Here is a 12,250-nt window from a genome sequence, read left to right as displayed (position 1 = left end):
CTCCATGATTTAAGTTTCCTGACGCCTCCCTGGCCATGCTGAACTGTGAGTCAATTAAACCTCTTTCCTTTAAAAATTACCCAGTCCTGGGTATGTCTTTATTAGCAGCGTGAGAACAGACTAATACACTTGCTCACTAGAAAACCCTCCAGTCCTTCCCACTGGCTGGAGCTCTAGCTATGATTAGTCTGAGCCCCAAGTCAGGGAGTGGGAAGAAGAACCTCAAGCTTGATAGTTAAGGAGCATGAAATTTGGAGTCAGGCAGGCCTGGCGTAAGTCCTAGAAATGCCACTTGAAAGTGCACTGTGACTTTGGATAAATGACTACACCTCTCTGAGACTCAGTTTCTTCATATGTCAAGTGAGTGGTTATAATACCTACTTAAAGGGGATTATGAATATTTGTTAATAAAAAATACTCCCTTTTTTAATAGAGTACTTCATATGGGCTAGGCATTGTACTAAGTGCCTTCTCATCTCTTAATCCTCACAGTCACTCTGAGATGTCTACTAGTATCATCACCATTCTATGGATGAGGAAATGGGGGCTCAGAGAGACTCTATTGTCTTAGTACTTACAAGCATAGACTCTGAATCCAGCTTTCTTGGGGTCAGTTCCTAGACCTACCACATACTAGCTGTGTGACCTTACACAAGTCCCTTAACCTCTCCATTCCTCATATCCTCATCTGTACAGAGATCATCATATAATACCAAACTCAGGGGGTCACTTTGAACACTCAGAATAGCACCTAGCACATGGAGAGCACTATATAAATGTGACCTTTCATGAGTATAATTATAATATTGTTATATCTTAGAACATTCTAATGCATTTGTCTCTAAGGCTGATACAGCTAGAACCAGGACCCCAACCCAGCATAGCCTCCAAAGCCTGTACTCTTAATCACCCCAAGAGAGTATGAAGGAAAGTGCCTGACACAGTGGTGGACATTCAATAAGAAATGGTAAGCAGTTGCCTTTAGCACTATATTACCCGAAGCCAGATTTGTGGCAGGACTAGGTCTCAAATTCCCGACTTGGTGCTCCTTCCACACCATCAGACCATGTCATCACTGTCCAGGGGGCTGCTCTGAATCCAGAGTGCTCTGGAATGGGGAGGCCAGGGCAGGTGTATCTCACTGAGACACTGTACTTCGCTAAAACCAGTATTATCAATGTCACCTTCAGAGCCTCTCTTCTACCATACTGGCCCTGGAATGGCTTCTTGCCAAGGGGACAAGGAGTTGGATTGTATCTGATGGTCGATCCTCAACCTATAAATCCCAGGCTGCAGTTTGAACCTAGATCTAGAATTCTGGCTCCTACCATGGCCCCAAGCCAAGGCAGCCATTCAAACTCCTCTTCCATCGACCTGGGCTGAACACTCTCTGGATGCCACCAGTCTGCCGGGGAGGAGGGAGGTAGGGTAACCAGACCACTCCAGAAGGAGAACCAAAGCCAGAGGATAGTTTTGGGCTTTCTCCTATCTGGAACCCACTTGGCCTCTCAGTTCAAACAAAGAATTTGCCTTTATTCTTGAGGTAGAGTGGATAAAACACTTCTTGGGCTAGTAAGTTTGAGGTCTTCTGTACAAGGTGGCTTTAAATCTTCAAGTTTCTCAATAATTGGCTAGCTGTGTGCCCCCATCCCCCAATCTAGGAAAGTTTCTTGGAGCAGTTACCCAGCCCAGGGACAGCAAGTCAGTTTGCTGTCTTGTGACAATTCAGACAGATAAGTAGGGCCTACCTGGATTACTACATTGACAAAGATTCTGCAGCCTCCTGTGCCCTTCATGAGAATGCAGGCTGCAATCCATTAGCAATGTCTAGCACACGCACTGGAGGTGGGAGGGGGGTTGTGTCATGTGTTATACCCTCGTGATTCCTGACTGGTCCAACCCCTACTTATCAGATATGGGAGGACCTAATTCCTATTCTCAGGAGCTGACAGCCTCTCAGAGACAAGGCCAAGACCCTAGAAGTAGTTAGAGAACAGTAAAAGACATAATGGCAGCTGGAGTAGGAAAGACAGTAAGACCCTCAGGAGAGGGAGATGAGGTGGCAGATGGCTTCTAAGAGAAGGTGGGCCTTGGGAAGGCCCCGAAGGAAGGGAATGGGTTAAAGAGTAGGAGGTATACTCCAGGTGGTGGGGCTGTACCAGGTAGGTTGGGATGACAGGGAAACGTAAGATCCGAGGACAGGGGCAAAAAGAAGATGGTGGGGTATGAGAGTGTTGCTGTCACAGAATGTGCTTGGACCAGGCAACGAGTGGGTCAGGCACTGTCCACTTGGTCAACACGTGTCACAGACTGTGTGGCAGGCTGTATGGTGTGCTGAAGACTCAGTAATGATCCTCTAGGAGCTTAGTCTCGTGCAGAAGATGGAAGAAATAAATGTGTAAACAGCAAGCCTCTAAGCATTCTTGATGGCATCAAGGACGACGATGGTGGTTGCTGAGGGCACCCAGACAAGAAAGCCTCCTCTCCAGTGAATGAATGAAGTGACATTTAAGCTGAGACCCCAAGTTGAGAGTAGGGGTTAGCCATGGGAAAGGGAGGGTGCCAGGCAGAGGGAACAGCATTGTGCAAAGGCCCAGAGATGAGGGGCTGGGGTGGTCATGGTGGGCTGCTGAGCCATGAGGCCTGAAGTGAAGACACCCATTCAGTCAAAACGGGGCATGTCCAGAGGGGGTAGACGTACCATGTAGTAATCATAGAGGAAGCTCAAGGCCGCAACACTGTCATCATCTCCATTGACTCTCATCATGGCCTTTGTGGCAGCTGTCAACGGGTTTTCTAGGTACGTCTTCCAGGCCTCATCCTCACTAGTGTAAGAGAATTTCTGCAAGTTGACTGGGTCGTTCTTTAGCAGCCGCACAGACCTGAAACTGAATGCAAGTAAGGAGAGTCAAATTTAGGCTATCCCAGAGGAAGGTCCGTGAATGGGCAGCCGCAGGCCAACGCCCAGGAATTCAGAGTTATTAGCTTTGAAAACATGAAACTGCCTCTTCTGCCACCATTAGGCAGTGTGGGGCAGCAGAATGGACACAAACTCTGGAGCTGGATCGATTCCAAATGTTGCCATGTAGAAGCTGTTGACCTGGGCCTTAGTTCCCTCTTCCACAGCATGAAGGCCATCATCCTGATCTTCAAGACTACAGAGTGGATTCAATAAAATACTTTCATAGTGCGTACTTATTCAAAGAGAATTCGTGTAATGAATGGGAAATGCCAATGATAAGCTGCAATGTGATACGAATAAAATTTCCAGATAACCCATCATGAGTTCTACTGAAGAAGTTGTCCTCAAGACTGTGAAAGGCACAGAAGGCGTAGATCATTTCAAGTCTGGGAGAAAGCGTGGTCTATGACAGAGAGAGCCAGGGCGAGGAAGCCCTTAGGCAGAACCTGGTCTGGGAAATGGCATTTCAGGCCAATTTTATTGTAGAGTTTTGAGCAGTTGCTCAGAAGCCAGGAACTGGAGTTGAAGGCTGCAGGGCACACAGAGGCAGGAAGGACCCGGGTACTGGTGCTGAGAAGCTTGGACAAATACAAGGCATTATCTCGCTCAAGAGACAAGCCACAAGGGCTCAAAGGAAAGAGATCAGGAAAGGCTTTCTGGAGCAGGCAGACATTTTAGTTGGGGAAACTCAGCACTGGGGATTATTTCACTCAGCAATGTGGGGAAGGAGCAGGGACCTAACAGAAAAATAAGAATGGAAAAATAATAGCTACTCTTTATTGAACACTGGCCATGCGTTAGGCACTAGCTAAGCACATTTCATAAATTACCATGTTACTTGAAACAACCCTGCAAGGCAGATACTATTATTATTCCTATTATACAGTGGAGGAAACTGAAGCTCAGATAAGTTGAGAGTTGTCCAAGGTCCCAGTAAGTGAGTGGCCCAGAGGGGATTCAAGCTCCTTCAGGGTGATGCAATGGTACAGAATAATGTCCTCAAACTTTAGCTGCATGAGAATGACTTGGAAGGCTTGTTAAAACATAGATCGCTTTCACAGCAGGGTGACTACAGCAAAGAACAATGTAGTGTATACTTCAGGATATCTAGAAGAGTAGATTTTTAATGTTATCATCCCAAAGAAATGATAAATATTTAAAGTGATAAATATGGCAATTATCCTGATTTGGTCATTATACAATGTAAAGGTGCACTGAAATCTCACACTGTACTCTATAAATATGTACAATTATTATATGTCCATTATTTTAAAATTAATTTAAAAACACACAGATTGTTGGGCCCCACCCCTGGAGTGTCTGATTCACTGGCTCTGGGTGGCTGAGAATGTACATTTCTAGCGATTTCCCTGGTGCTGCTGATTCTGGTAGTCTGGGGACCACATTTTGAAGAATCACTGGTTATTGCACATGCTCTTAACCACAAACAAAGGCATAGAAGCAGAAAAGTTCTAGTTGTGTTCAATTTAGAGCAAAGAGTGTATGAAGATGGGGTGGTCCAGGCTATGAAGAGAGAGCCCCAGAGATGAAGTGGGCACTGGCTGGTCTCCTGGTTTCCCAGTGCCTCCCTTTCTACATGGGCCAGGCAGAATCTCCCATGTTAGGGACCTAAGAACAATGCCAGCTGCCATTTACGATAATGCATATGAATGTTCTCTGTTCGTTAGGCCGTGCTTCTTACAAGGACACTACAAGGTAAGGATCATTTGCTTCGTCTGTTAAGATAAAGGAACCTGAGTCTTGCAGAGAACGAGAAAATGTCCAAGATCATCCAGCTGGTCCGTGAGACAACCAGGATTTCAACTCAGCCTTATCGAGCACAAAGGCACACACTTGCCACGCAGCCACACTGCTTTTCCGTTGATGCAGGGGTGCAGTCTTTATCACAGCAGAAAAATGTGTTTGTGGTAAAACTGTGGCACAGTGGCAGACTAGTGGGTGGGCAGAGACCCCTGTAATCAGGTGCATGAAGTACCCTCCTGCTGCCAGGCCACTAGGGCCCATATCCTCAGACTGCAGTGGGAACAGCAGGCCAGGCCATACCTCAGCATACAGGAGGCGGCAGCTCTCCCAGCGGCTTCATCCAGGACAGTGTCTCCCATCCCACCAGGCCCCAAGGTGTGAGGAGCTGGGCTCTGAGAGGAAGGGAGGTGGAGCTGTCACGCAGGAAAGAGAAATGACAGAAACTTTCCTGTTCTAGGGGTGCGGAGAGCGGGAGGCACACCCTGAGTTTCTGTTGCTATAAATCAAGGGGCCTCAAGGAGAGGTGAGAAGAGGCCCCTCCTCATTGCTTCCTGGGCCTGGGGTTTAGAAGAATTTACTGAGCAAGTCCAGGGTGGCCACCCTCACTGTCTGCCCAGCCCGGAGCTAATGGAAACTCCCAACCAACGAGGCATGGGAAAAGCAGGGAAATGCCTGACTGATCCCACCCCCTGGATCAACAGGGACCACCAGTGCTTAGCACTGTTCCTCATTTGTAAACGAGTCTAATAAAAGCACCCACCAAATAATATCATGAGGATAACGCATCAGCACAAGAAAATGCTTAAAACTCTGACTGGCACAAAACAAGTGTGTAATTCATGCAAGCCATCACTGTGTTCCAGGTCAGCTTGGGGCAAGACATCAAGGGGTTGCAAAGTGGTAGAAGACATGGTTACTCTGCAAGTCAGTGGCAGGTCTGGGCCTGGAGCCCCAATCTGCTGACTCTAGGGGTTGACCATTATCAGCTTTGATGCTGTGAGTTACCTTACCCTTTAAAAAAGATAAATTTTAGAAGACAACGATAAAGTGACACCGAAACAAAAGAACAGACAATGTCTGCTATTCACCTGGGTGGGTCTCTTGGCCTATAAGGTCTCCAATCTATCTTGTTGGTATCCCAAAGTCTGATTCCTTGATAAACAGCAGCTTCTGTACTTTAAACACTTACCACTGGCAAACATAGTGCCATCTGTTTTTGTGTGTCATCTCATCTACTCCACACAACAGCCCTGAGAGATAGGAATTATCATCTCCTTTTATAGAAGGGGAAATTGAGACTCAAATAGGTGACATCACCTGCTCAAGGTCACTCAGCCAATAAGTGATGGAGGCTCAGCTTGAACTTGGAGCTGTCGGACTACACAGTAAAGCATTCAAGCCCTGTGCTAGTCTCTTTTCTAGATGCCTTTCCTATTCTGGAAATTTCCCTTCTCAAAATACATTGAACTAATTCTCTGTTGCAAGGCAGAAAGGAATTTCCCACCCACACAAGGCAGGAGGAAGGCGGCAAGATGATGACTGGAAGAGTTTCTGGTCAGGGGCTGGGAGTCCCAATGCCCTGGTTCCCATGCCTGCTCCTGCCACCAATAACCTCATGTTCTAGAACTAAGAATTTGGCTTCTAGAAAGTCTTAATGAATAAGGTTAGTATTGACTTGTGTGTTGAATCCTAAAATCCAAGAACTTTTGGCTCTCTGGTCTCTTAAAGATTACAAATAAGGATTGAGGAGCCAGTAGGTGAGAGAGGGGGAAAAAAATAAGTTGTCCCAGGAGCTGATACTGGATCAATGTGAAAAGAGTTCTAAGAAGGAGTGAGTCCTACTCATGGGTGATAGGGCCAGAAGAAAGAAGGGAAACCAGGGGACTCCCAACCTATGAGGTCAGCTTCCCTGGGGCCTCCACAAACTCTCTGTTGGTGTCCTTGTCCAAGACTGAACTAAACTATCAGAAAGTGAAAAGGAAAATGAGGGAGGAGGGAAGACCTGCCATGGATAGCCTGCCATCAGATCTCTACCAGACACAGCACACCTGAACCTGCAGCACATAGAAGGAGGCAGCACCAGGGTCACAGTGTATGGGTTTGTTAACTACATGTCCTTGGGTAAGGCACTTAGCCCTTCTATTTCCTCATCTGTTAAATGGGTCTATTGAGTGTCTTCTATGTGCCAGTGTGCCAGTCAGGGACTCTTCTGAGCACTGGGAATCAACTAAAATGAGACAGATAAGACTCTGCTTCCATGGAACTTACAATCTAATTGGGGAAGATAGACCATAAACAAGTAGGTAAATTAGTTATTTTTAGTTAGTAATAAGTGCTATGAAGAAAATTAACATAGTAAGATAATGGAGAGTCAATAGGGGTGGCTACTTTACAGTAGGGTTCATCTCATGGGTTGTTAGGAGAATTAAGTACATTAAGGTAGGAAATGTGTTTAACCTAGAGCCTGCCAGAGAATAATTGCTCAGTTAATAATAACCATCATCACCATCATCATCCCAGAACCTCCAAATGGGAGTAAAGGGGATACTCTGCCTGAGGTTCTTAAATTTTCATCCTCCCACAAGCCTCCTGTCTGTGAATGGGGTTCTGTTCAAAAGAAACAAAAGAGATAGTGTAATAACACCTTGCCCAACTTCCATTATCTCATAGAGCCTCCCAACATACATGATGTGTTATTATCCCTACTTTACAGACCAGGAAATATACAATAGAGATGTTAGGTGACCTGTTGCAGGGTACTGAATGAGTGAAGCCAGGACTCCTAGGGTCTGGCCTGGGAACTCTATGGCTAGCACTTTCTCAAGAGGGAAAAAACTACTACTTTCCAAGAAGGGATGTAGGAGAGATTTAAAAAGCAATAAACCTGGGTGGCATCCATCCACGTAACCATCCATCCCTCATTTTTAACAAATATTTATCAAGTAACTACTATGTGCCAGAACCTGTCCTGGGAGAATAAGATAACGAGGTCATCCCTGCCGACACGGAGGTTGCATTTTAGTGGCAGTAAGACCTACATGACCACAAAAACAAACAGTTAACATTAGATGGGTGAAGAGAGCTATGAAGAAAAAGAAACAAGAGGACTTCTGACCTGCCTGAACCCAAGGGAGTGACGGATGTTGGTTAAGAAGAGGGGTGGAGGGGAAGAGGGGTGGAGGGGAATAGGGGTGGAGGAGAAGAGGGGTGGAGGAGAAGAGGGGTGGAGGAGAAGAGGGGTGGAGGGGAAGAGGGAGAATGGAGATGAGTTGGGAGGACCTTGGACCTTCCAGATCAAAGGAAAGGCAAGATCAAAGGCATCAGCCTGGCACAGCTCCCAGAGCTTGTCCGCCTACTGTGTGCCAGGTGTGAGCCAGGTACTTTGCATATGCCACCTTGTTTTAAGGAAAGCCAGCCCACTAAGGAGGAAATCCAAGATTTGATAATCCCTCACATTTGCATAGTGTTATATTTTTCAATGTGCTTCTCATACATCTGTCATCACCTCTGATCTTACAACGCCCCTGTCAGGTAGGGAGGGAAGTTATGACTGTCCTCATTTGAGGAAAAACTGAGCCATGGAGAGGGCCACTGGCTTGCCTAAGGCCACTGAGCTTGTACCTCAAGGCATCAGGCCTAGAACTGAGGTCTCTGGCTCCCAGCATCCAGAACCTTCACAGAGCCGCCTCCTCAGAGTCTCCCCGTCTGGCTTCTCCTCCATTTAGGAGAGAGCAGGCAACAAGATCAAGAGAGAGGAGCTCAGGGGTCTACCTGATAGGCCTCACTTCTTGAGGCCTCCCGTCCAGTCTGTGAGGAAGTGCAAATTGCCGGGGCCAGTGCTCTGGGAGGAGGGGATGGGACCTTTCCCCAGTTCACTGGCACTCGGCACAACAGGGGTGTGGTGCCAGCTGCTCCATGCCCAGTCAGCCTCAGCCTTCATGGCTCCAACATGCCTCATTCTGGGCACCAGGATGGTGAAAGTCTAGAGTGGTAAAGTGGGGTTTCATCCCAACAAGTCTCTTCTGAGTCAAAATGCCCACTGCTTTCTGGCTGAGCTACTTAAAACCCCCAATAAGACCAAGGAAATGCTGTCTCAGCCATCAGTTGAGAACTTTTGGTATCATTTCCTTCTGTTAGAATCCTAGCAATTTAGGATGCAGACAGACCTCAGAGGTCTAGTTCCAGAGAGGCACCTGCCTAAGGACATGCAGCATACGGCAGGATGGGACTCAGTAGTTAAGCTACAGAAAAGAAAGTACTCACTCAACTTTCCAGAAGGTGGGAAGAAAACCCAACACCAAAGGAGGTGGTCTCAAGCTCCACCAAAGAAGGTGTGTGGCACAGGACAGATCCAGCAGGCTAGACCCCACTTCCCTTCAGCCAGAGAAGGAAGAGTTCCAGGGGCCGCCTGAGCTGGGTGTTGACACCCAGATACTCCCAATGACTTGCTAAATCCTGCCATGAGCCACCCAACCTCATTAACAGTGATCAATCACTCTCTAATCACCCACAGGGAGGCCCTGACACAACTGCTCACAGAGGAATCATTTTCCAGTCAGCCCCACACACGATGTTCCCTGGGCACGACAGGGGCGCCCCAGGGTTCTCGTGCCTGCCAGTGGCCCATCTGGTTTTCTGGGTGTACAGATTGTGAAATGTGCCTCGTCACATGGGCTGGGGGCTCATTTGGGGGCCTCAATGGGGAAATGGCAGAGTGTAGGGCATGGCTCTGTAATGACTCCAGTTTGCATGAGGCAGTATGAACTCATCGTTATGGGAGTGGGCCCAGAGCTTTGCAGACCTGGGTTCCAGGTCCAGCTCTGCTACTTACTGGGTGACTTTAAGCAAGCAACCTGACATCTCTGTGCCTGTTTTCTTACCTGCAAAATGTGAGGCAATGAGAATGCTAACCTCACAGAATTGCTATGAGAGCTACCGTTCATTGAGGGATTACCAAGTACCGGGTGCTGGCTAACAACTTCTAGTCATTGTCTTTGTTTTTTACAACTTTGTGAAGTATTACTGTTGGAAGATGCAATGAGGTAATGCAGGTAAAGCGATCAGCATAGTGCCAGCACATAACAATGTGAACTACTTTTATTATTATTACTAATACTTTGTGGGGTAGTCCCCAGCAAACTGCACAATTCACAGCCTTTTCCAGCCTATGAATCGGGATATCTCTTCCTAGCTGGCAGAATCATCCTGATGCTTGGAGATTTCCACTTAAGAGGAACACGCACTACCAGCTTCATCGTCAGGACCCAGGTGGGCAAGTTGACGGTGGTCAGGCTGCAGCAGACACTTTTAGTTGCATGTAAATTATCTAGGTGCCCTTTCCTAATTAGAGAAGAAAGTGAGTTTCTGCTATTTTAAAAATTCTTCCCTGTATGGGAATTTTTCTTTCATGCTATATTCTCCTCTTGGTGTCTTGTCTAATTTTCCTTTTCTCCCCCCATCTATTGTTCAACTGAGGTGTGAAAGAAGTTGAAATCCACCTGTAAACCCGGGGGTGCCACATCCCTTCATTTATTCACTCACTGATTCACTCAACAAACATTCACTGAGGATTACTCTGTAAATGGCCACGTACTGGGTGCTGAGGACAAAAAAGGTGAAGGCCACTGCCATTCATGTGGCTACACTGTTCTGTCCCCTTTCGGTCCCTGCCCTTGAAAGTTCCCAATTCTTGCTGACCTCCTGGAAAAGCCTAGAGAAATACCATCAAATAACGGAGAGATAATTTCCCTTCAAGACTTTCACTAGGTCAGTTGTTCTAACCTTTTTAGGAGGCAAAAGGAATAGAGAGGGGGAGGCAGCCAGCCAGGATTATTTGCGGCATTTTAGATAGGAAAGCTGAGTTCCAGAGAGGGGAGGGAAGGCAAGAGAGGGAAAGGAACTCAATTATTTCATAGAGTCAGGCCTTGTGCCTTTTTATTCTCATACATGCCTTGTGAGGTGGGTATTTTTATCATCATTTTACATGGGCAAAAACTGACACTTAGGTTAAGGAGCTCATCCAAGTCACCCAATCTATAGGTGGCAGAGCTGGGCTTAAAACACAGGTGTGATCTTGGAACTAAGCTCTCAGCCTGCTGACTCAGCAACTACACTGCAGGTCAGTAGTGGATTTGGGAACCTCCTGCTTCCCAGTCCTCTGCCTGGTCTTCTAGGCCAACAGTTTTACAACTTGGACACGCATCAGAATCACCTGGAGGGCCTGTGAAAACACATAACGCTGAGCCATACCCCCAGTTTCTGATTCAGTAGGTCTAGGGTGGGGCTGAGAATTTGCATTTTTAACTAGTTCCCAGGTGATGATGATGATGATGATGGTCCACGGACCACAGTTTGAGAACACTGTTCTAGGTGTTCTCTTTCAAAATAATGACTCCCTCTCTTCCCCTTAACGACTCCAAAGGTAACATAGGTTTGTAAAATACAACAAATATATAACATGTAGAACCTACAGAAAAATAGGAAGAATGGAATTCATCCACATTCTTCTGCTCAGAAATAACCACTCTTAACAGTTTGGCACATCTCCTCTGTCTTCTTTTCAGAGGCTAAGCACAGAGGAAGCGGGGTGGCCTATGGCTGCTCGGCTAAGACCCGGTTAAGATCCCAGTGCTTCCGTGAGACCTTGGGCAAGCCTGAACCAGGTCTGGGTCCCCTCTTCGGCAAAACTGCATTTACACTCCCATCCCGCATTAGTTTGTTGGGAGGGTTTAAAGAAGAGCGTGTATTTATCAAGCACTCGACACAATGTCAGATGCGGAGTCAGCGCTCCATAAATGTTGGCTGTCATTTTTGTTCTAACGTAAGAGAAAGCTGGATGATCCCATCTGGGTTTCAGCCCCGTTTTCCCTCTTCACTCCTCCGGTGGGTCAGTGGGAGCTCTGCCGACCGCCTGGCTGCGGCCACTCACTGCTGGGACTGCGCAGCCTGCCCGCTCCCAGCAGCTGGCGGAGCCGCAGGACCCCCGCGCCGCCCGGGCCGCCGCCGTTAGGGTTGGCTCAAGCCTCTCGGCCCAGTCCGCCAGTTTTACAGCCCGAACTCAAAGAGGGCTTTTAACTTTTCATTCAGCAGCAGCGTAGCTCCGACTTTTAATAACACACCTCGTGCACGACAAAAATTTGCTCCTGGCAATCATGGTTTCGACCACAAAACCACAGCGGGGAGGCGTTCCTGATTAACTCTTTCAGCGCTCCAGGCAGTCTGGAGCCGGCGCTCCTGGAGATCAGATAGAACGGCGGCGGCGGCCGCGGTCAGGACTGCGACGGTTCTAGTCCCCTTCCCCCAACCGAGTCGCGTCTCTGCGAGGCTGAGGGGAGACTCCAGGCGGCAGCGGTGGGGCCCAGAGAGCAGGGAGCGAGGCCGCGGGGGACGCTCCTGCCTCGGTGCCTTAGACCTACTGTGTGCCAAGCCCCTTTGCGGCGAAACTCTCCCTTCCTGGGCTGTCAACGGGGCCTGCCTGGAGCGCCGGCCGGCCCTCCAGAGGGGAACAACAGGTCACCGGGGAGG

The 12,250-nt window shown here is 47.8% G+C and overlaps 1 protein-coding gene across 6 annotated transcripts in view, besides 2 other annotated features; it reads right to left on the bottom strand.

Moving 5' to 3' along the window:
- GRHL3 (grainyhead like transcription factor 3) overlaps positions 1 to 12,250 on the bottom strand; it is a 45,126-nt gene that overhangs the window by 30,169 nt on the left and 2,707 nt on the right. For 4 of the 6 annotated variants that reach the window (NM_198174.3, NM_001195010.2, NM_198173.3 and 1 more), the window contains exon 2: positions 2,702 to 2,888. The exons of 1 other annotated variant lie outside the window; for it this stretch is intronic. In NM_198174.3, the coding sequence (NP_937817.3) occupies positions 2,702 to 2,888 (187 nt within the window). Of the gene's footprint in view, positions 1 to 2,701; positions 2,889 to 11,196; positions 11,275 to 12,250 lie in introns of those variants that run through there. One more of the 6 variants, NM_021180.4, reaches the window with a different exon arrangement.
- Positions 11,184 to 11,699: an enhancer, noted in NCBI's record as "NANOG-H3K27ac hESC enhancer chr1:24649105-24649620 (GRCh37/hg19 assembly coordinates)". NCBI's record gives its function as "activates a minimal SCP1, AML or CMV promoter by ChIP-STARR-seq in naive H9 embryonic stem cells {active_cell/tissue: H9 hESC(naive)}" and the evidence as "EXISTENCE:reporter gene assay evidence [ECO:0000049][PMID:30033119]".
- Positions 11,700 to 12,217: an enhancer, noted in NCBI's record as "NANOG-H3K27ac-H3K4me1 hESC enhancer chr1:24648587-24649104 (GRCh37/hg19 assembly coordinates)". NCBI's record gives its function as "activates a minimal SCP1, AML or CMV promoter by ChIP-STARR-seq in primed H9 embryonic stem cells {active_cell/tissue: H9 hESC(primed)}" and the evidence as "EXISTENCE:reporter gene assay evidence [ECO:0000049][PMID:30033119]".

Source organism: Homo sapiens, chromosome 1 (genome assembly GCF_000001405.40).
Source record: "Homo sapiens chromosome 1, GRCh38.p14 Primary Assembly".
In the NCBI taxonomy this organism is placed as follows: domain Eukaryota; kingdom Metazoa; phylum Chordata; class Mammalia; order Primates; family Hominidae; genus Homo; species Homo sapiens.
The sequence above is the reverse complement of the archived record's forward strand: the minus strand, read 5'-3'. Positions and strand labels throughout refer to the sequence as shown.